The 25,035-nt window shown below is 36.7% G+C and overlaps 1 protein-coding gene across 2 annotated transcripts in view, besides 1 other annotated feature; it reads left to right on the top strand.

The window, feature by feature from the left end:
- PLCXD3 (phosphatidylinositol specific phospholipase C X domain containing 3) overlaps nucleotides 1-25,035 on the top strand; it is a 203,650-nt gene that overhangs the window by 155,498 nt on the left and 23,117 nt on the right. The gene's annotated exons all lie outside the window — the stretch shown is intronic.
- Nucleotides 20,281-20,330: a silencer, noted in NCBI's record as "silent region_15985". NCBI's record gives its function as "represses an Ori minimal core promoter by ATAC-STARR-seq in GM12878 lymphoblastoid cells {active_cell/tissue: GM12878}" and the evidence as "EXISTENCE:reporter gene assay evidence [ECO:0000049][PMID:35858748]".

Here is a 25,035-nt window from a genome sequence, read left to right as displayed (position 1 = left end):
GTAAAGAGGAACAACTGGAGAAAGGGAAGCTTGATGTGTGTCTATATTCAGATGGAAGATTTTTCTTTAGTCATAGAAAACTACATGTTTTCTGTGGAGGTAAGACAGCATACCATTTGGGGAAACTTCAAGTGGCTTTGTGTGCTGTAATGTGGCATTTGGAATTAGTGCAAAAGATTAATCTAGAGAAAGAATAATGGTTCATATTATAAGGGGCCTTCCTTGGATTTCATGCTAAGAAATTTGAGGGTTTTCCTGAGAAGAGTGAAGACAAATTAAAGGATTTGAAGAATTTTATGCAGGGAACTAACATGATCAGATTTGGATTTAGACAAATCACTCTATCTACAGTTTAAAAAAATGAGTTTGAGTGAGACAATATTACAGGTAGGGAAACCAAAGAGGAGTTATCACACCAACATCCCCAAAGGAGCACGGGCTTCTATTTTTGCTACCCAGGATCTAGGTACATGATATAGTCAGTACATGTGTGTCATTGAATGAGGCTGTGGCAAGTAATTTAGATACCATATGACTATGGGCTAAACTGAGGTGTGGTCATAGGAATTGAAAAAAATGGACAGAGATTTAAAATATGTTAGTGAGGTAGAATCTAAAGGAGTTGAACAATTGGCTTGTTTTAGGGAAAGGGGAGGAAATGAGGAGTCAAAGAAAAAAAAGAGAGAAGCTTCTGGCTTAGGTCACTTCTGATGCCATTCACTGAAGTCAGAAACATTGGGCATAGAGCAAGTTGAGGGAGGGATGATGACCATTTGCTTCAAATATGAAGACTCTGAGAGGTTTGTAGGACATTCAGGTCCTGCTGATCATAAGTCTGCTTGGATAGAAGAGCCTGGTTCTCTAGCATCCAGAGAGAAGTCCGGGCTGCAAAAGTAGTTTGGGAGGTTGTAAATATCTAGCTGGGAATTAAAGCTATAGGAATATCATTGAGAGATAATTAGAATCCATAAAGGATTGGCTGGAACTCTGATAATCATCACATTTTAGGCTTGGGCAGAAGAAAAGTGGTTGCAAAAAAGCTGTGGGGCTACCAAAAGTTGGAAGAAAATAGAAAAAAGTCTAGAGGAAGTATGGATTCTCAGAAACCAGTGGAAGGTATTTCATGAAAAATGGGCACATATTCTAGGCACCAAAGATATAAAGATAAAAGAAACAGTTCTTATCTAGAGAAGTTCAAATTCTGGTGAGGCAGCTATCTGTAGTTCAGTAGAAAATTCAGAGTCATTGATACCCACAGTAGAGAAATAAGTTACTACTGGAGCCCAGAGAAAACGTGTCTCTACCACACCACCAACTCCTAAGTCTCCAACTAGAACAAACTCAGAAGAAAAGAATCCTGAACTATTGCTTCCCCAGTGAGTGATTTCATCACACAACGTAACTCCATATTTTACCTAATAATTCATTTATTATCTTTCTCCCTTCAATAAAAGCGAAGCTACACAAAGGCATGGATTTTTTTCTCTTTTGCTCACTCTTGTGTCTCCAGAGCCTAGAACAATTCCTGGCATATAGTAGATGCTCAATAAATATTTGTTGAATGAATAAAAATATCAAGCCTACATACATACAAGGTGTTTACTGACCTCAGACCATATCCCAGGAAATCCTACTTATATAAAACTCCTGATATGAATTTATTTTCTTGTGTTTTGCTTTTTCTCTTAAAAGCTGAGTGTGTAGGCAGGGCACGGTAGCCCACGCCTGTAATCCCAGCACGTTGGGAGGCCGAGGCGGGCAGATCATGAGGTCAGGAGATTGAGACCATCCTGGCAAACACAGTGAAACCCTGTCTCTACTGAAAAAAAAAAAAATACAGAAAATTAGCCGAGCATGGTGGCGGGCGCCTGTAATCCCAGCTACTCGGGAGGCTGAGTCAGGAGAATGGCATGAACCCGGGAGGTGGAGCTTGCAGTGAGCGGAGATCGCGCCACTGCACTCCAGCCTGGGCAACAGAGCGAGACTCTGTCTCAAAAAAAAAAAAAAAAAGCTGAGTGTGCAACATGTTGGTTTTGACTGAACATTCCAGTAGTTAAACCAAAAGTTCACTGTGCCATGAGGATTATTCAAACCTCTAGCAAACCTTCTTAGCCATGATAGGCACTGGCTTTAAATCATATGAGAAAGTCGTCATATTTTCTTGCTCTTTAAGATTTTTCACTAAGGAGATTGTCCTTCAAATAAGTCAAACCCTGGGAAGTATTCTACAATCAGTGATGACACAATGGGCCTTTCTTGTAATTAACTCCACTCTTTAGAACTCTCCTAGAAAATTACCTCAAACTTAAAAAAAAATTACTCAGCTACAAAGAGAATGATTTGTTAAAAAACCATTTGTCTCCCTGAACAAAGAATTTTTCAGCTGTTAAGAATTCTTCAGATGTGTATTTGTTTTATACTTGGATAACTAAGACAACTAGGTCTTAAAAATTTTAGATTCTACTAGTGCAGAATGCTTAATAGAGAAAGGTGGTTTATGTAATGGATTGCTACCTTTTATTCTAATCAAGTACATTCAGAAAAATAGGCAGAGATGTAAGACTAGGCTAATTATCATAAATTTATTTTCTGCGAACCTGCTTTTGCCAAAATTTGTTAGATGTTGCTAATTGATTTTACAATAAATAAGATACTGTCCCTGCCCTCATGAACCCAGGGATTTCCAGAAAAACCTCACAAAGAAAGTGATTTTTGATCTGAGAATTAAAGCAAGTAGAAATTTGCCAGGTGAACCTGGGGAAAAAGAGAACTCTTGAGGCAGAAAGAATACTATATGCAAGTCGGAGGAAGAATGAAATAGGCAAGGATGTTCATGGGCAAGATGCACAAAGTGTTTAATGGGTCTTAAACTAAACTCATATGGGGGAGGGCCGGATGAAGTGACAAGAAGTTTAAGAAAAGTCAGATGATGGTGTCTTCTGCATGCTGAGACTTTCTATTGATAAAGGAAACACAGTTCTTTATTTTATAATTTCAAATATGTGGGTGATAGGCCACATCACCAATAAGGTCTGGCCTTGTTAGCTTGCATAAGTTAATACTACAGTAAATAAATTAAGTAAAAATGACATAGTTTTGAAATGCAATAGTCACCATGAAATTTAATATTCACCTTGCCAGAACATTGCAATTATTTTGCTCCTTTATTCAAATATTTTAATGGCATATTTCCCACATATTTCAAAACAGAAAAATGAAGAGTAGAAGTTGAGTGATATTAATTAATTGAAAAATAATATAAGCTAGACTTAGCATTTAAACTGAGATCTGTTTGGTTCTTAAAGTGCAATAGGCATTATCTATCTATGATAGGCAATAGTACTATCATTAATATTTCTTATTCATTGAATCAATGATAAGCAATCTTCTACCCTGGCACCAGTGAGAACCATAACATTTGAGAACTGGAAGCGATCTTAATCACTCTTCTTATAGAAACTTCATTTTAAATATATGAAAACTGAAGACCACAAGCCAAGGTGCAATTTAGTAGAGTTGGACCTAAAATCCAGGCCCTTGGGCTTTCAGTTCAGCGGTTTTTTTCTACTAGGTGTCTTCTTTTATGACTGAGATAATCCATTTGAACTGCCCTTGTTCTGCCACAAGCCCACAGTAGGGAGTGAGGTGAGAGCCTCATATCCCTTACAGGCCTCGAAGCCTACCATGTGCTCAGCCCCTGTGCCAGGTCTGGGAATACAATGATGGATGAAAGGAACCCTGCTAGCCTAAAGCTCACACTCCAATGGGAAGAGACATTCGTGTGATATACTAATAAAGTCACACTGATGTGAAATGTCAAGAGGTGGGGAATGGGGAGTGAGAAAGGTGTGTGGCATGATGAAAGCACATGTCAGAGGGACCTAGTGAGCTAGGATATCTTCTACCCTGATTGTTTGTTTTCTTAAATATCTAAGAAATCCAAAAATTAGAACAAGTTTGCCTCAAAAAAAAGGTATCTGCTCTGAGGATTTGTGGTTTCTTTGATAGTTTATAAAACATAATTTATAGTTTATAAAGCATAATTTAATACTTTATAAAACATAATTTAATACTTTCTCCAGTCCTTGCCACAAACAATAGTATAAAGTATGGTTTGGTGACTTCTGTCAACTATAAGACCAGAAATCTTTTTTTTAGAGCTTTTTACTCAAGCTGAAGACAAAGCCATAAAGTTGTACAAAATAAGCTTATGTTACCAGTCCCAGATTCTACAAACAGGAAACAAAAAACAAAGACATAAAACGGAATTTAACATATAAGAGATTTTGCTTATGCAATATACTTATTACACTTTAAGAGGTAACTTCCTGGGAAAAATAATTTTGTTTATAATTACTGTACTTCATAAAGCTCTTTGGAACTTTTGCCATACTCTATTTTCTAGGTGGACACTCGGGAAATTTTTCTTGACCTTGTCTTGGGAAAGAATTGCACCTGATTATGCTGATTCACGTTATATGCTCAGAATACCCTATTGTATTTTTTTAAGCATGATGTAAGAATGATGTAATCTGTACCTAATTACCCAATTATTCCATACCTTGAAGGAGTCTTTCAATGGAATGCATCTATACTCTAAGAAGAAAGAATTCCATGAAAATTCATAGTATACTCTTCCTATGGGAATAGAACCTAATATCCTAAGATTGTTTCCCTTACTCTTAGAGCTTCAGATGGAGAAAAAGGAAAAAGAATGGAGAAACAGGGCAAGTAAAGAAAAAGAATCAGAGAGAAGATGAAGAGTATAGTAGACATGGGGTCAGGTAGTGGGAACTGTAGCAAATAGAACTCTGAGGACCTCTATGCTGTAGATTTAGCTTAAATCAAATATGCCTCATTCGTTTTCAATGAGAAAACAGAGGACGGAATTTAAAAAATGAAACAACTGAGCTATGAAAGAATAGAAGTGGGAGGAGAGCCTAAACTGGGCTTAAAAACGTGAGAGAGGGAGCTGTGTGCATATTATGGTCTCTTGTGATGCAGGAGACAGTGAAAATTTCTGGCACAGGAGGTGTGAGAGAGGTCTTTATCAACTTCACCCATTGCGGAGTCATCCACAGATATTAGCCCAGCTGAGCAAGTAGGGCACCACAGTGAATAGCTGGCTACAATTTTCTGCAACAAAATGTTGCAAAGCACTACCAAAAAAAAAAAAAATCCAATCCTGCATGTTTACTAGGACATTCCAGAACTTTCCTTTGGGAATTTATGGGTACAGCAGTTAGGGAAGTAAGCAGAGTATCCACAGTGCTAAAGGACAAGTAAGGGGCTAGTGCTCTGTAACTACAGGATAATTTAAAGACCTGTGATGCATGCAATTGTGTTGTAATGATCACTGGCTTGCTTAGTGCATTTGTGAGTCTTTAAATCTCCTCAAGTGCGGAGCAAAAAATTCTAGGATTTTGAAGTGTTATTTAAACCTCCAAAGTACAAGAACCTCTGCTTTAAACTCTTGGACCATTTCATGAGGGGAAAGTGTGGAATGCTTTTGTCAGTTCTTCATCTTCAACTCCACATCCTGCATGAAGTGGGATGTGCTCTAGTTGCTTCAGTTTAAAGGAATGTTGATTTCTCAGTGATAATGTCCTTTTAACACAACTTGTGGCAGAATTTAATACAAGGAAAAGTTTAAAGAACTCCATCCCTTTTCCCAATAGGAGCATTTAACCATCTCCAAATTTGAAAGAAGTTATTCTTCTGAAAGTAGCAGTCCTCCATAGGAGCTGTTTGATGATCATGATGAAACTTTTTATCCTGACATAAAATTTTGAACTTCTGATAGCTTCTTTGATCCTAAAGCCATGCTTAGCATCCTAACAACCTCTAATAAGTGCAGCCATCCTTTTAAGAAATAAATCTTGCTTTGGAAACAAAAGACCCAACCTAAGAATAATTTTCTGACCATTTAAACAACTACTAGATAGAGCTAGGGGTCTTCACATTGCATGTGCAGAACTTGTAACACATGGATATGTGGACTCTTTCTAATCCTTTGCACTGTCAGTATCTGTAGATGGATATTGTCAATAAATCATAGAAAAGATGAGTAAATCACATTAAAATCATCCAGAAATTTTGAATCGCAGGTTTTAGATCCAACTACTGGAAAACCAGAGCAAGTACATGGATGTGTGGTTATTATTTGACCTTTTTAGACCCTACTATTTTTCACTTCTTTTGGCAAATTTTCCAGAGCTCAGTCCTGTATTTCCATGCTTTTTCTGAAGGAAATGGCTTATTTTCATTCCCAGGAGGTTTAAAAGTCTTCCTTCTCCTTTGCCAAGCAGTCATGGTATCAGCTGCAGGTCTTGCTCTTCCCCAGTGCCTCTGTACTTAATAAGTCTGCATTACGGAGGCTGCCAAGCACCAAACATATTCAATATCACACCTGGCCCGATGGTCTTGCAATCTAAAACAAACAAACAAACAAACAAACAAACAAAAAAACTCAGTAATTTTCTGTATTTGTAAGTGGTCATCTTATATGATGGTGATGGGATTTCTGTAGGAAAAACATCTATTTTCAAAGTTGGAAGACCTTTATTATTATATTTGCACAAGCTTCCTTGTCTTGTTAATTAACTAGTTAAGCTAGAGTGCTACCTATTGACATTGGAAAATATTACCAGGAATGTTTTTTTCTGGTTTCCCTCACTGATTCAAAATCCTACTCTCATGACATCTGACATTAGATACAAAGACAACAACAACAACAAAAATGACTTTCTGACAAGAATTCTCAGCTGTACCATGATTACTTCTTTTCATCCTCCTACCTTTGCGCAATTACTAACTCATCTATATTTTAAGATAATGGTACATTAGGGTCCATTTAGAACGTCTATTAGATCATAATGTCACACAAGCAATGATGTCCTTGTTTTGAAAATAGCATCCAGAGCAGCTACTCCTCTAACTCATTTAGTAAACGGGGCTAATACTATTAACCTACCTCAAAGTGTGAGAAGCATTTTACAATAAGGAATTCCATGATATGTTAACTAATAACTTGGAAAAAGTATTTGTTTCTCCAAATATCCACTGGAGCTGCCAGAGAACATCTCTAAAAAATCTCCACTGAACTATTTTTACTTAGTGTTTTGGAGAACAATTGCTCACCATCCCAAAGAGTGTAATGCCTATGACAGAGACTGATTCAGCTGCTAACAAGAGAGGTATAGAATAAAAGAGAAAGAGTAAGAAGCCCAGCTAAATTTTATTTTTTATTGCCCAGTTACCTGGTTTTGGATTATATATGTTTTTCCTCTCTCAGTCTTTCCTGCACCTCTTTGGTGATTCTTTGAATAATAGCGCCTCCAGTTGATCTGGTGTTAAGAGTAGGGAAAGACTGAGACAATTATAACTCAGGACAAAGGTGTTAGAGAGAAAATAGTAAAACTGAAGACCAGGGTGAGTTCACATTCATCTTCCATGTCTTCCTTTAATAGCTGCCATAATAAAAAACAACTATAGGTTGGTAACTAGTATCTACAGATGTTGTGCTTGCACAGACACAGCTACACCAAGCTCCCTGCCTTTTTGACTCCAAAATTAAGTGAGAAAGATTGGCAGAGCAATACACTGTTACAATGTAGAATGGTGTCTATAAGGTGTTGAGGTGCTGTGAGATTTCAGAGGAGAGATAAATTACTTTCCTTGGAGTGAGAGATTGCTAAAGATCTATGAATCTGATCTAATAAATGTCCAGAGTAAACCAAATCTACTAAGTGACAAGCCTTGCCATTAGTGAACCAGAAATCATTTTAATAGGTAAAGAATTTTTTTCTAATTTTTTCTAACTTTACTGTGCTGAGGCATCTCTTTGACATTTTAATTTGGAAAATCCTAAAATATCAATTTATTAAAACAAGATACCACGACTTTGAATGGCTAAAATCCAAAACACTGACAATACCAAATGTCCCACCAAATATGGAGCAACAGAAACTCTTATTCATTCCTGTTGGGAATGCAAAATGGAACAGCTATTTTGGAAGTCAGTTTTGCAGTTTTTTACAAAGCTAAACTTAGTCTTACCATATGATCCAGTAATAGCAACCTTAGGTACTTACCAAAATGAATTGCAAACTTATATCCATACAAAAACCTGCACGTGGATGTTGATAACAGCTTTATTCACAATTGCCAAAACTTAGAAGGAACGAAGATGAAGCAAACAAGATGTACTTCGGTAGTTGAATGGATAAACAAACTGTTAAATCTATACAATGGAACATTATTCCGTGATAAAAATAAATGAGCCACAAGAGGGCAGGAAGGAAGCTTAAATGCACATTGATAAGTGAAAAAGACATTCTGAAAAGACGGCATAGCATGTAAGTTCAACCATATGACATTCTGTAAAAGGCAAGTTTATAGAGATAGTTGGAGAGTGGTGATGGTTGTATAATACAACAATGTGAATGTACCTAATCCCTCTGAACTTTACACTTACAAATATTTAAAATGGTAAATTTTATATGTTAAATTAATAAATATATTAATATATATTTTACCACAACATACACATTCAAAATTATAGAGACAGTAAAGGCGAAAGATCAGTTGTAAGGTTTTGGTTTAGGGGAGGGTGGGTGAACAGGTAGACAGCACAGAGCATTTCTAGTGCAGTGAAACTGTGGTACTGTAATGGTAGATAGAGGACATCATGCATTTGTCAAAACCCATAGAACTGTGCAACACAGAGTGAACCCTAATGTAAACTCTAAACTTCAGTTAATAATACTATATTACAACTAGTTTATCAATTCTAACAAATATACTCCACTAATGCAAGATGTTAATAATAGGAGAAACTAGCTAGGTGTTGGTGAGTAAGGGTTGTATATGAGCACTCTCTGTACTTTCTGGGTAAGTTTTCTGTAAACTAGAAACTGCTCTAGGCTGGGCATGGTGGCTCACGCCTGTAATCCCAGCACTTCGGGAGGCCGAGGCGGGCGGATCACCTGAGGTCAGGAGTTCGAGACCAGCCACGCCAACATGGTGAAACCTCCTCTCTGCTAAAAATACAAAAAATTAGCCAGGCGTGGTGGTGGGTGCCTGTAGTCCCAGCTACTTGGGAGGCTGAGGCAGGAGAATCACTTGAACCCAGTAGGTGGAGATTGCAGTGAGCCAAGATAGTGCCACTGCACTCCAGCCCAGGCGACAGAGTGAGACTCCGTCTCAAAAAGAAAAAATAAAAAAAAGAAAAGAAAAAAGAAAAAAAGAAAAGAAACTGCTCTAATAAATATTCATTTGGATAAAGGCAAATAAGTATGTAGCAAAAATTAAATATGGAGTTAACCATGAGTTAAATGAGTTAAAGTTGGGATCTGTAAAGTTAGAGGCTTTAGTGACCTGAATGTGTGTGTGTGTGTGTGTGTGTGTGTGTGTGTGTGTACACATATGTATGTATAAATTTGGAGTAAAGGATGAAACATGGTAAATAATTGGACACTTACCAAGATATTTGACTGTTTGCATAAGCTATTTTTTTCTATTCACTACTAGCCTGAGCTGAATGACAGGCTGTGTTCAGAAAACAATGTTATCTTATGAATATTCTCATTCTCTAGGCTTTCTTATCATCATATTGCTATTCCAGTTATTGCCTTAGTGCATCAGAGTAGATAACGTTAGATAAACCAGACCCAGAATAATATGAAGAAGGATAACCTCTGGACAGGATTTTAGCATAATGGGTTCCAATTTCATCTTTGCCACTGAGTGAAAACAAGCAGGGGCAAGCCACTCACCCTCTCTCATGATTTGTTTCCACATCTATCCAATAAGAGGGTTAGACTAGATCTCTGAATTCCATTTTTGCTCTCAAGTTATTTTGTCTTGTCTGGTTAGATTTAGCCAAAGACATCATTTGGAAAAATCTCAAGGAAAGCCCAAGTCTGCAGAGATCATATTATTTGGACACAAATCTAATGTTGCCTTGCTTCATCAATTACTATTTGGACTTTTGGAAAGAAAATACTCAAATCAATATCCTGACTATTTTGACTGTGTCCAAGTCTCCCTATTATATGCTGTAATAGAATCATTTTGTTTATAGAACCAGTTTGTAATTATGCTTTTATTTTTGTGATTACTTGCTAACATCTGCACACACCCACCTACCTCTAGATTATGAGTTGTATGAAGGAAGGGAATGATTTGATTTTATTCACCATTAACTCCTCAGTGCTTAGTGCCCAGAGTAGGTGGGCAATACATATATATTGAATGAATGATTCTTTATATTAGTTTAATGAAACATAAATATAATTTTTAATTATATGAAGTAAAAGAGAATTTAGATTTTTTGATACATGGCTTGCTCTGAATTAGGATATTTTTTTCTAAATGGTTGTAGGTTTGAAATAAAAATTTTCCAACAGGAACTTAATATTGTAATTTTTAGTAATTCATATAATTTCTTGTCCATAAATGATCTTCTGTTAACTGATGTCAGTCATAGATATCAGCCGCATTTTTATATTTCTTATCTAAAACAATTTCTAGGCAAACAAATGAATTAAAATTATAAGAGCAAAATAATGGGAACTGTTATGAATATAAAACTTATAACAAAAATAACTTTCCTTAAGTGACAAATGAAAATGGATTTCTCATTCTAGATTCAAATATTTCTTTAATTGACGAGTTGATCATTTGGATTTCAGATTTTCATTTTGCTGTGGAAAATAACTGAAAAATGTGAAAAGTTCTACCTTTTATTTGAATAAGAGCTGAATAAATCTGAAACCTTAATTATTGAGTCTACTCTTTCTAAAAATAAGTCGCATTTCTGGATGGATGACTTGGCACTTAATCTTCTGGCCAAATATGTCAACAAAATATTGGACAAACTATCTTTTGTCTTCTTCTATTCTGTGTTCATGGAGTGATTCTAAATGCTAGCTTAATGCCTGCTCTTTATGACCAATGTATTATTCATGTTTTAGAAGTCCATCTGAAATCGTTCCTTTAAAACATGCCCATTAATTCAGAACATCAATTTAGAAAGATTACTTTTTCAGTTCAAGATAATGTTTTATGGTTAATGGAGAATCATAGATGCCATTTAAAAGTTAGAGCAAATACAAGAACGTAAGAAAAAAAAGCAATACAGTTGTTACTTATTTGAAGTTGAAATGGAAGCCTGAGGTGTGAAGAATTTTCTTATCAGACAAACAAATCATCCAATTGTGCTTAAGCAAGTAAATAACACAATTCATGAAAATGTTGGCCTTGTGTATAGCAAACATAATGCTTGGGCTTTAGGAAAAAAATGTTTTAATATGACTGTGACTTGACATTAAACCACGTTTTCATTAAGATCAGAAAAAATGTCAGAATTCTCCTCTAGCTGAAGATATTCTCTGTTTTCTTCAGGTTTAAGTATATTGGATTTTCATTGTAACTACAAACGTTCTCAGTCTAGACACTGTTATGATTTTAAATTATTTCAATCCAAAGTTCAAGATGTAGACACAAACTAAGTTTGTGATTTTAGTAGTAGTACCTGTGAAACCACCTGTTGGGGTTAGAAATTTTGACTGACTTCAGAACTGAATAGACCATTTATTTTAGCCAAAATAAGTCACTTACTTTGCATATAAGCAAACAATTTTCCTTTTGCCTACTAGTAATTCATTTTCAATATATTCACCAAATATATGGATGATTTCTTTGCCTTTGGATTGATTTTTTTTCTGTTTATGTAAAAGAGATTTTTGAAGCAAAACAACTAGTTTTCAAGTAAACATAAAAACTTCAGATTGCATACAAAGGTTATTCCACTTGAAGGAAAAAATCATAATTTTAATATCTTTCATTCAATTTTCTATTATAATTATGGTGAATAAAGTGGTCCTCATGTACTCATTTACTTAGAAGCCCAAAATGGGTAAGGAGCCAGAACAGGAAAAGGTGGAGCTACCTAGGTTTAGCTCTAAGGATCCTATGCTTGTGCGAAGTTGCAGCAAGTTTGATAGCACAGTTTTGTTGATGATAATGAGTTAATTATCACTAAACTTTTACATTTTTCTAATGAAAAGAAAATCTGTACCCACTGCATTCAAACAATTAGATTTTTGAAGCTGCTGATTTGTTAGTTTTGAGAACTGTAGACTTCTAGGACCCATCCATTATTCTTGCTTTTGTCTAGAAATCATCCTTCTTAGATACAAGGCCTATCCCCACCACAAAAAAGGAGGCATCATTGTTTATATTTTTCAAATTGTGAAGCAAGCATTTTCAGCTTATTAAAATAGCTAAGTATGTTATAAATTCTTATAGTTTTTAACTTTTGGAATGAATTAGCTCCTCCTTTTCTACTAATATTTTATGCTGCATTTGGAGATTTTGCTTCTGTTTTGAAATTTCTCCTACAAAAGTTCTATTGACTCAATATATTGATATACTAAACCTAGATAAAGAATGAGATAGTGAAGTGGTAATAAAATACCCACATTAAATTTACAAAGCTTTCTGTACATTTTATTTCAGTTTTGGAAGGTACTCAGCTGCACAATTTTGTATGTCCAAGAAGATATCATTTGTGAACCTTCATTTTAATCATCAAACTGCCTTTTGGCCTCAACTGCTTTGAGGCCCACACTTTCTCTTCCATTATTAACAAGTTTGGGAAACAGAGTCAATAAAATCTAATTATTGACAGATGGTGAAATCAGTACTATTTCCTGAATATATATTCAGGTTTTCTAGATTAAACTAGAAAGTTTAGTCTCTCCTTTCACATACTTTTCTAGGCTCGCTCTTCAACACCTAAAACAGCACCTCTGTTGCCTAACACAGTGCCTGGCAGGCAGTAACCATTTGGCATAACTGGATTGAACAAAAACTATTACATCATTAGAGGGATTCCAAAGTAGGATACTCTGAGCTGATAATATCTTGATCAATTAAAGGATATATGGATACCCTATAGGCCACAGTATCCTCAAAATCACATCTGCATACTCCTGTGCTCATTTCCAAAAGTAACAAATCCTTTCCCAGTTACCCATATTTATCCCTAAATAGAAAGATGAGTAGGCAGGAGCTCACTAGATCACAGCCGTATGATCCAGTCTCATTTTCTACAACTATTGGAACAAAGCCTTCTTGTAGATGGTGGAAATTTCTTACTGTGGACTCATATCTTGAGAGGTAAAGCATGGCTAAGAATGTGCTCCTTTGTAATCCAGGTGAGTTGTTTGGCACCTAAGCAGTATGATGGCATCACAATTTATAAGCTATGGGTACACAATAACTAGATGACAACTTTCATTTTAGATTCAAGTTATTTGAGATTAGCAACACGGGGAGATTCCAAGAGATGTAAAAATAAGTGATAAGAACTTTTTTTTTTCTACCATGGCCTTGCCTATTTATCCACCACCCACCCTTTATGGCCTTTTATAAGGTAGAGGAATGATTCATAGCTACAAGAGGTAATATTGCAAACAGGTAAACCTTATAAACCCAATGGTAACCCAATCCATTTACAAGTGAAAAGTTCAGCTGAGGAACAGGACTATTTCCAATTTACATAATCCAAAATCATTAATTTATTTGGAACAACTTAAATTTGTAGGGCACTTTGAAATTTGCATGGCACTTTGAAATTTGCATGAGTATTCATAGTCGTGATTATATCTAAGCTTCCTAGTAATCATGAGGTAGAATGATGTATTTTCATGCTGCATGTTGCACAGAAAGGATCAGCGATTTGTAGACGTGATTTAGGTGGAGTCACAGTCTTGGTTTCAAGAATGACTTCGCAGAGTCAGCTAGGAAGCTGTCCACTCTGGACATTAGCATGGCAGTGTAGACATGCGATATTGATGGTGCTCTCTTCCATACATACTCCATTAGTGATACAGCCCAGTTTAGACTCAAGTATTTGTAATTCTTCAGTCAACTATATATGGTATTATTTGGTTTTTCACTGAATTCCACTAGATATACTGGTTTAATGTAGCTAAGAAAATAAATCAACATTATAAACTTTTGTCATTAGAAATAGAGCAACTTTCAAAACTGGTAAGTATTTTGTCAGCAACATTTTTTACATTTATTTAGAATACCTTACTTTGGTGGGATATTAACAAATATTTGTACTTTTTTAATACCAAAACTTTTTCATCTCCTAAAATGTAACTCAATGCCAGGAGTAAGACCTATTATAAAATACATTCTATTATTAGTAGCTAAAAGGTCACACAATTAAAAATATTTTCAAATAACTTCCACTTAATGACTTCCAGTGGGACATGAGTTCCCAATAAAATTAGCAACAAAATTCTTTAGGTTCTTTCCTGCCGACTGCAACTTTAAGTTAGAAAGTATTTATTCATTCTTTCACTTGAAAATAGCACTATCCCTCTAAACAGTTCTGCCTGAGAGACTTTAACTGCTTTGGAGAAGACTCTTTCCTTGCCTTGGCCTGTCCCTGGGGTCAGTGTTGGTAAAGGTGATGAGCAACGGATGCACGCAGTCATCAGAGACCATGGCCATCTCTAGTGTCATTGTCTAGCTCACCACCAACTCCCCTTGCTGGGTGTCTTCCAAATTTGAACCCCAGCTGTGGAAAGAAAAATTTCCAGTGTGGAGTGGTGAAGAATAATGGGATTTTTCAAATGGTTCTTCTGGTCTAGGGCAGAGAAACTGAGAACGCATGGCATTCCATTTATTTTTACAACTTTTAGTTAATTGATGAAACTAATATATTTTGTTGCCTCTAGGATAATTTTGATATTTCAGTACATTAGCTATTTAATTAGTCATTTCACAGTATCATGTTACCTGTTTTTAGGGACACTACGTGCAGTGAGTTGCAAAATTCAGTGTAGAAAAATGCTCTGATAAAAAGAGACTGGTGAATGCTGGTTACCTCATTCCCTGAATAAAACTGCTCCTGATTATCTAAAAGAGGCACTGCTGAGAGAAGGACCCAGGAGAGCAGCATCTATACAAAGGCATGCAGTTAATGCAATTGTAGGTGTGAATCTATATAACTTTAGAGGTTAACTGAGATTCCAGAAACACATACACAAACAGAGAGCCATTTATCTGAATTTTCAACACCTCGCCATGTTTCTGACTGAAGGCTCCTCTGGCCCTCTCTATGGCGAGTGTCTTTCCTTTTGTTCCATCTAGAATAAATCCTGTAAGTAACTTTTAAAGACCTATCCCTGCAAATCTCCCTTGAAATAACCCAGCACTGGATATGATCTATTATGAGGAAGCATTTTAATTCATCTTTTTAAGGTCATTTTTATAGCATTATAGATTAATATGAAGGAAGATTTAAGATAAAAAGTATAGCAAGGGTTCTTTTAGGATGACATTTTCAAATGCTTCCCTAGAATACAACCATACCAAGTTGTTAATAATGCTTCTCTTCCATATGACATATTCTATGATGTCTATTAGAATCAATAGCTAGTGAATCAATGACTTACTTAAAGCTAAAGTGAGCACAAGCCCTGAGGAAGGGCAACACTACTGTCATTTTGTCACCCTGGAAACCCTGCTTCTGTATTTGATAAGTACAGACTCAGTCAGTCAGGCAGATAATTTACATGACCAACTATTCACATACGTCAGTGATTCCAATTTTTGAAAAAAAAAAATAGTATGATTTCTCTGTATCCATTGACATATTCACTCTAAAGCCAGCCAGAAGAGACTTACTCAGATGGCTATTATCCCCTGGCAGCACCATTGATACTACCAGCTGGAGCTACCTCCTAGAATATCCAAATTTTCGTGTTTCTCCTCTGCTCCCATTCCTTAGTTTCTGACCACTATCTACCCTTGGATCACTCTTGAGGACTTTTCTTGCAGTTCTGGTGGGATCTCAGCTCCTGCATGCTTTATATCTTCTTTGGAAGCAGAGAGGAGATTCTCTGAGCTAAAGAGGGAGAAGAATATATATGCTAGCAAACTACTGTTGACTCTTCCAGAGATAGAGCAGCTTCCTCCCTACCCCTTCCTCTAATACTGCCTAATACCTGCCACTCACTGCAGAAGAAGCCATGAAGGAATTCCAGGAAAAAGATGATCATGAAATTACTGGGAAACATTAACGAAAAAATAGCCAAAATAATCTTTGGCCATAATAAAAGAACCAGAATGAGGGCGGAAATACTCTGTTACACTTCACACCCAAGTGAGAACATTGCATTATTTTCCGGTTACCCCTTTTAGAGGAAGTATAGACAAAGTGGAGCACACAGAAAAGAGTGACAAAGACAATAAGAGGGCTCCAAGCTGAAAAATCTAAGGAAAGTAAATGGGGGTATTTAAGAAGAATAAGGGAAGATACAGATGGTGTGGTTATGTGAATATCAATTATTTTCAAATATTTAAAGGAATATCACGTTGAAGAGGAATAGACTTGTTTTACATTAACCTAAGTAGATCTAGTGGGTGGTCAGAAAGAAACTTGTAATAGTAGGAGGGAGGCTATGAGAATTCCAAGCCCCTAAAACATATGTTAGAGTTGAGCCCCTGGAAAAGGATGCTCAAGTTGAGCCCCTTGAAAAGAAACTGCAATATTTTCAACAGTGTTCTGTAGAACACCAAGTCCACTAGATGTCATTGGTGATTTGTGTGTGTGTGCACATGCATGCACGCATGTTAGTAGGGGCGGTAGTAGCAGGGCTATTCTCAGGTCAAATAAATTTGTTTCCCAACTTAAAAAAAGGGAAATAAATCCTTAACTTCAGGACATTTCAATGTTCTTAATATGATAATGGTCTCCATATGCTATTATGTGTATTGTGAACATCAAAGAGGCTTCAACATTCCCTACACTTATGTGGCCAAGAAAACCTTTTGTTTTAGGCACATCTTTAATCTCTCATGAAGCATTGTTCCATGGAATTTAATTCAGGAAACATTTTTTGTAGAGAATATGACTACTTTATAATGTCTTAAAGACATTTTCAGACCCGATATTCTCTGAGACTTTTCTAAACATGGCAAGGAGGAAATATACAAGGAAGAGGGAGAATGTATTACAAATTAAGACACATATGTGGCACCTCTATGGCTTGACAATATTTATTGTACATTATTAAGTTCCTAGGAATTTGCTTAAAAATGTTAACATGGTCAAACAATTTAGAAAAGTGTCAGGTAATATGATTTCCCAAAGATATAATGAAGAGATGACATCATGGGAAATACTCTTCTAACTCAGACTAATTGACTTAAAATTTCTCTCCCTGATGGTACTGTTAAAAGATTCTGACTTCATAAGGTCACTGTCAGGAGGAAATTATAGAATTAACAACTTAATGAATATTATTTTCTTACAGAACAGATGACATATTTCTCTATCCTTTGCACCTGCAGTTGTCACTGATTAAAGGGGAAAAAAACAAAGAAATCACCTCTGATAATTATGCATGATTGCAAGTGTCCAAAGACACATTGACATATTAGCACCTGGGATGTTATGGTCAAATTAAATTCCACTTATATTCATTCCTTCTGCCTGTTAGCATTTTCTCTAAAGAAAGTGAAATTTCTGAATTTGGCTTTTAAAAAACAAAATCAAACTCAAATTTGGATGCTATAATCACTCTTATCTTGGAAAGGATGCACTGGGGACATGAAGCTGAACAGAGTACTGTACACAAAAAGTCCTGATGATGTAATCAATATCCTCCAGCTTCTGCTGGGCAGTTTGGACTGGAAAAGTCTCCCATTAAGTGCCCATGACAAATGTTTTCTGAGAGGTAGCTTTAGATTTTCTGAGCCTTTTATATATTATTCATAGCTTCATGGTATCCAGAGAGAAATCCTGGCTGAGGTTAAGACTCTGTGGTCACTGACAATAAGTCATTTAGTTCTGGTGGCCTTTCACCTTTGCCAGAGGAAGTAGAGGTACCCACGTGGGTATGTACGGTACACTGCCTAAGCATAAATGCAATTTCTTTTGGTTGACCACCACAAAACACACTTAAAGCAGCTGAAAACCTACCCTGGTGGCATTTTGGAAATGAAAATGTAGTTGTAATTTTTCTCCCTTATTAAGTTTGTCAGAGGCCACTCGTAATTCTTACTCTGGCTAAAGGACAAATTTTATGATCGCAGAATTTCCTGCCATCTAGATTACACTTGTAGGTTGGGTTTCCCAGAAAGCAGACTCTAAGACACCAAGATTTGTGTGCAGAAGGTTTACTCTCGAATTCTCTTGGGATCAACACCTATGGGAGAGTACAGGAAACAGAACTATGTAGAGGAAGAAATTGGACTGTGATGCAGTCAGAACAAAGGCCTCAGCCAAGACTGCAGGAGCTGTGGGGGATCTTCAGATTTCTCCTCCCACCCCTCCCCAGACATCAATCATTGCATGCAAGTTATTCCAAAGAGCATGTGTGGCATTGAGTGAGGTGGCTTTCTTTTGCCGAGGGCAATTCTCAGACAGAAACTTAGTTGGGAATTGACAGCCAACAACACTTTCAGAAGCTAGAAGAATGAGCACTCTCCATCTGGAAGGGAAGCTCTGGGAGGCTCATCACAAGCATTCACTACATACCTGAATGAATAGAGTTCAGTCACCTGCCTTGAAGTCACTCAGAACTAGAAAAAATGAAAGTAACTACATGTATTTACTGTCTATGTTCTAAGCACTTGAAGCATTAACACTAATAATGGAGTAACAATTAACCTGCATTGAGTTCTTATCTCTTGGGTATTTTACGAAATTTTATATGCTTTATTTCATTTAATTTACTATTCACTTTTATTATTCTCTTACATAAGTGACTTACCCAGGATTTGAATTCAGACACTCTGCTCCAAAGTCTTCACTCTTATCCTCTATGCCATACCACCTATCTATAATGTATTGTTTCATTTTATTGTTACAAAAACACTATGAAGTAGTACCATTATTATTGTCATTATACAACGAGGAAGATGAGAATTGGGGAAGTTAAATAACCTTCCAAAGGCCACATGTTATTATAACTCAAATATGACTCTGTCTGATTCCAAAGCTCTTGATCTTCCTGAATCGATTGGAGGGAGTCCATTAAAAGTCGATAAATACTCACTTACTTATGAGTCCTTGGGGAGTAGTTTTTATTTAGCCTCATGAATTTGTGAGAGTCCACGGAACATTTCCTTTAGAATTGGAATGTGTGCCAATAAAGAGACAAACAGCTAGTTCATGAAGCCAAAGGAGGCTTTATGGACATCTCCTTTTCCTATGTTTCCATGCAAGGCTATTCAGAGCAATTCAGCAATTTCTGTCTGTAGGATTTCAAGTAATTCTGGAACTAGTCCCATAGTCAAGTCAGGGACCATATCTGATTCATCCCTGTATCCACCCCAACAAATGCCACATGATGGGTACTCAATAAACACTTGTTGACAGTATGAGCAAATGTATGAATGCCATGGAGACCAGCAGTTTCCAGGATCTCACCATCAAGGACCTATTTCCCTATTTCTCTCCACAAAGCCCTTCTCTTCTTAATAAATGCATATTTTTAAAGTAATACTTTATTTTCCCATTGCTAAAATTAAAGACACACAGAATACGCTAGAACTTCCAATCAGCAGTAGGTAGTCAATACTAAACCTGGATTAATAAAACGATCCTGCCAACAGTGAAGTAGCATTTTTGTTAACTCATGTGACTATGGATTAAGGGTAATTGATTTGTGTTGTGGGTTTCAACATTACTGCCTCTAATAGTACTAGATCCAGAACTCTTAAGTGGATCTAACTACTGAGAGCCAAAGGATAAACCTAGATAGTCCTTGAGATATTTGCTCCAAGCAAAATCAGAAATGTAAAACTTCCTTTCATCACAGCTCTTTCTTATCAAATGGAAATTTTTCCAAAGAAGGGAAAGGAAGGACAGTGCTAGCGATAGAAACTGTCTGCTTTGAGGAAGGTAAATTGCTTTTGAGCTTTGAGTACCCAAATTCCCCGTGCATTTGCACTGAGTGAGGGGCTACTTGTGCCGAGGAAGAAACTGTGAAGTGAGAACATGTGATCCCACACAGAAGAGTTCTGCCCTTGAAAGAAAACCCATTGTCTGTTTCCTGGCAATCGAAATCTTATTAACATACAGAAGGGTCTCTTTGTTTAAAAATTGCAAAGCTTTCTTTATTCTTTCATTCCCCTGGAAAACTAGAAGACAAAATAGTCCCTGCACGCCAGGAGGCCCCCATCAAGGGCTGGCTGTGCTCACATTCTGTCTCCTGGCAGGGTTTGTGACTCATTTTGAAACCCTGACTTGGAGCAAACGATGAGCCTGAGGACAGAGTGCATTTTATGAACTCTTAAACACCATTTTTTCTTGTAGTTTATATGAACTTATTTTAATTGAAAATGGATTTTTAATGGTTTTCCTTGCCACAACAAAAATAAGGGCTGCTGTTGCCATTATCAAAGGAAACGGATGGCATATTTTGCTTTGATTTGTCTGCATTACTTTTTGTTAAACAAAACAAAAGCTAAACTAAACTAACAACCTTCTTGGCATGTAAATAAGATGAGATATGTCCCATGTACTTCTGAGGGCTTGGAATTTTCCACTTGGAAAACTGAAAACATCCAGTGTCGTTAGGATGAGGGTGAGGCTTGGTCAGTTCCTGTGCCCAATATTTTTGGTGCAACAGCAGCTCTTCTATGCAAATCCTGCATCTCCCAAAATATGACTGTACCCAAGGCTGTGGCTGAGTAGTTTTGAATGACCCTGGAGTACATTTGAGTAATAGTATCAAAGATATTGTCACCTGGGTATGTGTTGGCAGTGAGGTGGTGTGGCATGACTGTGATCCTTGTAGTAACCCCAAAGTATTATCATTGCTAATCTTACAAATGGAGAAAATTGAGACTCAGAAGGTTTGCATAATTTATGTAAGATTATAAATAAAGTACATTACTCTACTCTAGTCAGGACCAAAACTCAAATTTTTAACATCAATTCAGTTGATGTGATTGTTTTTGTTTGTTGGTTTTAAAAATAAATCTCTCAGCAAAGGCTGTGCTTGTTTCTGATCACCATTGTGTCCTCAGCACACAGAATAATATTTAGCAAATAAGGGTTGCTTTATAAATATTTGTCAAACGGATGTCTTTATCAAGCTATAAATGGGGTTTGAATTTGATTTGGGCAGAGAATCTGGGAAAGTCAAGGTGAGGGGATTTTTTTCCTTTTGCAGCAACAAGGGGAAAATTCAGATTAATGTTTTCTTTAGCTGTGCCTTTAATTACTTTCTGTTTTACACCTAAATAGTTATAATAAATTAGTTCTGAAAATACATAATGAAGGACATAGTAAGACTTAGGAGGACTTTAGCCCTATTCAGGAAATCCCAGGTCACCTAAAAGCTCAAGACTTGCTTGCTAGAGTATTGTTTTTCAGATAATTCATATGACTTAATTATTTCTCTGAGTGTAATTTTAGGGGAAAAATATTTTTTAAATGAACTGTTTTCATCAGACATAAATCAGATATGCTGCTTCCTACACAGAGATGAATTTAGCAAAAACCATAAGCCTTGTGTTTACAGATGCTATGATTTATGACACACATTTGTCTACCTGAGGTTATTTTGAACCCCTCACCATTGTTTTAACCTATAGATGCAAAGACCCTGCCTTTTACCACTGAATGCTTCAGTGTATGAAATACTAACCTTCTGGGCAAGAGTTTCTTTTCATGTTGTCATTCTCTTCTTTACATTTTCAAGTGAAATTTCTAAACTTTCAAAAATGACAAGACTGACAAGAAAACACATTTGAAAATCTGTCACAGTTGACTTTAATTAGTTGGTCTGTGGGGGCTCAGTTGCTCAAAGGAAGAAAGATCCATGATCATTATTTTAAACTTTGCAGATCAATGAAGCCTTCATTTCTTAGGCTGGGTTGGGACGGGCAGTCACAAGCCATTGACGTTTTTGTTTGTTTGTTTGTTTGTTTGTTTTTGTCTTTTATTTTATATTATTTTATTATTATTATACTTTAAGTTCTAGGGTACATGTGCACAATGTGCAGGTTAGTTACAAATGTATACATGTGCCATGCTGGTGTGCTGCACCCGTTAACTCGTCATTTAGCATTAGGTATATCTCCTAAAGCTATCCCTCCCTCTTCCTCCCACCCCACAACAGTCCCCAGAGTGTGATGTTCCCCTTCCTGTGTCCATGTGTTCACACTGTTCAGTTCCCACCTATGAGTGAGAATATGCGGTGCTTGGTTTTTTGTTCTTGCGATAGTTTACTGAGAATGATGATTTCCAATTTCATCCATGTCCCTACAAAGGACATGAACTCATCATTTTTTATGGCTGTATAGTATTCCATGGCGTATATGTGCCACATTTTCTTAATCCAGTCTATCATTGTTGGACATTTGGGTTGGTTCCAAGTCTTTGCTATTGTGAATAGTGCCGCAATAAACATATGTGTGCATGTGTCTTTATAGCAGCATGATTTATAGTCCTTTGGGTATATACTCAGTAATGGGATGGCTGGGTCAAATGGTATTTCTAGTTCTAGATCCCTGAGGAATCACCACACTGACTTTCACAAGGGGTGAACTAGTTTACAGTCCCACCAACAGTGTAAAAGTGTTCCTATTTCTCCACATCCTCTCCAGCACCTGTTGTTTCCTGACTTTTTAATGATTGCCATTCTAGCTGGTGTGAGATGGTATCTCATTGTGGTTTTGATTTGCATTTCTCTGATGGCCAGTGATGGTGAGCATTTTTTCATGTGTTTTTTGGCTGCATAAATGTCTTCTTTTGAGAAGTATCTGTTCATGTCCTTTGCCCACTTTTTGATGGGGTTGTTTGTTTTTTTCTTGTAAATTTGTTGGAGTTCATTGTAGATTCTGGTTATTAGCCCTTTGTCAGATGAGTAGGTTGTGAAAATTTTCTCCCATTTTGTAGGTTGCCTGTTCACTCTGATGGTAGTTTCTTTTGCTGTGCAGAAGCTCTTTAGTTGAATTAGATCCCATTTGTCAATTTTGGCTTTTGTTGCCATTGCTTTTCGTGTTTTAGACATGAAGTCCTTGCTCATGCCTATGTCCTGAATGGTAATGTCTAGGTTTTCTTCTAGGGTTTTTAAGGTTTTAGGTCTAACGTTTAAGTCTTTAATCCATCTTGAATTAATTTTTGTATCAGGTGTAAGGAAGGGATCCAGTTTCAGCTTTCTACATATGGCTAGCCAGTTTTCCCAGCATCATTTATTAAATAGGGAATCCTTTCCCCATTGCTTTTTTTTCTCAGGTTTGTCAAAGATCAGATAGTTGTAGATATGTGGCATTATTTCTGAGGACTCTGTTCTGTTCCATTGGTCTATATCTCTGTTTTGGTACCAGTACCATGCTGTTTTGGTTACTGTAGCCTTGTAGTATAGTTTGAAGTCAGGTAGCGTGATGCCTCCAGCTTTGTTCTTTTGGCTTAGGATTGACTTGGGGATGCGGGCTCTTTTTTGGTTCCATATGAACTTTAAAGTAGTTTTTCCCAATTCTGTGAAGAAAGTCATTGGTAGCTTGATGGGGATGGCCTTGAATCTACAAATTACCTTGGGCAGTATGGCCATTTTCACGATATTGACTCTCCTTACCCATAAGCATGGAATATTCTTCCATTTCTTTGTATCCTCTTTTATTTCCTTGAGCAGTGGTTTGTAGTTCTCCTTGAAGAGGTCCTTCACTTCCCTTGTAAGTTGGATTCCTAGGTATTTTATTCTCTTTGAAGCAATTGTGAATGGGAGTTCACTCATGATTTGGCTCTCTGTTTGTTATTGGTGTATAAGAATGCTTGTGATTTTTGTACATTGATTTTGTATCCTGAGACTTTGCTGAAGTTGCTTATCAGCTTAAGGAGATTTTGGGCTGAGACAATGGGGTTTTCTAGATATACAATCATGTCATCTGCAAACAGGGACAATTTGGCTTCCTCTTTTCCTAATCGAATACCCTTGATTTCCTTCTCCTGCCTAATTGCCCTGGCCAGAACTTCCAACACTATGTTGAATAGGAGTGGTGAGAGAGGGCATCCCTGTCTTGTGCCAGTTTTCAAAGGGAATGCTTCCAGTTTTTGCCCATTCAGTATGATATTGGCTGTGGCTTTGTCATAGATAGCTCTTATTATTTTGAGATACATCCCATCAATACCTAATTTATTGAGAGTTTTTAGCATGAAGGGTTGTTGAATTTTGTCAAAGGTCTTTTCTGCATCTATTGAGATAATCATGTGGTTTTTGTCTTTGGCTCTGTTTATATGCTGGATTACATTTATTGATTTGCATATATTGAACCAGCCTTGCATCCCAGGGATGAAGCCCACTTCATCATGGTGGATAAGCTTTTTGATGTGCTGCTGGATTCGGTTTGCCAGTATTTTATTGAGGATTTTTGCATCAATGTTCATCAAGGATATTGGTCTAAAATTGTCTTTTTTGGTTGTGTTTCGGCCCAGCTTTGGTATCAGGATGATGCTGGCCTCATAAAATGAGTTAGGGAGGATTCCTTTTTTTCTATTGATTGGAATAGTTTCAGAAGGAATGGTACCAGTTCCTCCTTGTACCTCTGGTAGAATTCGGCTGTGAATCCATCTGGTCCTGGACTCTTTTTGGTTGGTAAGCTATTGATTATTGCCACAATTTCAGATCCTGTTATTGTTCTATTCAGAGATTCAACCTCTTCCTGGTTTAGTCTTGGGAGGGCGTATGTGTCGAGGAATTTATCCATTTCTTCTTGATTTTCTAGTTTATTTGCGTAGAGGTGTTTGTAGTGTTCTCTGATGGTAGTTTGTATTTCTGTGGGATCGGTGTTGATATCCCCTTTATCATTTTTTATTGCGTCTATTTGATTCTTCTCTCTTTTTTTCTTTATTAGTCTTGCTAGCGGTCTATCATTGACATTTTTATAATAATCTTTATCCCCCAGTGCATCAGAGAGTTCTGTAAAAATTAATGAATTGATTTTGGAAATTTATTTCATTCAATAAAAGATACACTTCATTGAAAATTA

Source organism: Homo sapiens, chromosome 5 (genome assembly GCF_000001405.40).
Source record: "Homo sapiens chromosome 5, GRCh38.p14 Primary Assembly".
Lineage (NCBI taxonomy): Eukaryota > Metazoa > Chordata > Mammalia > Primates > Hominidae > Homo > Homo sapiens.
Note: the sequence above shows the minus strand (reverse complement) of the source record. Positions and strands in the feature narration are given on the sequence as shown.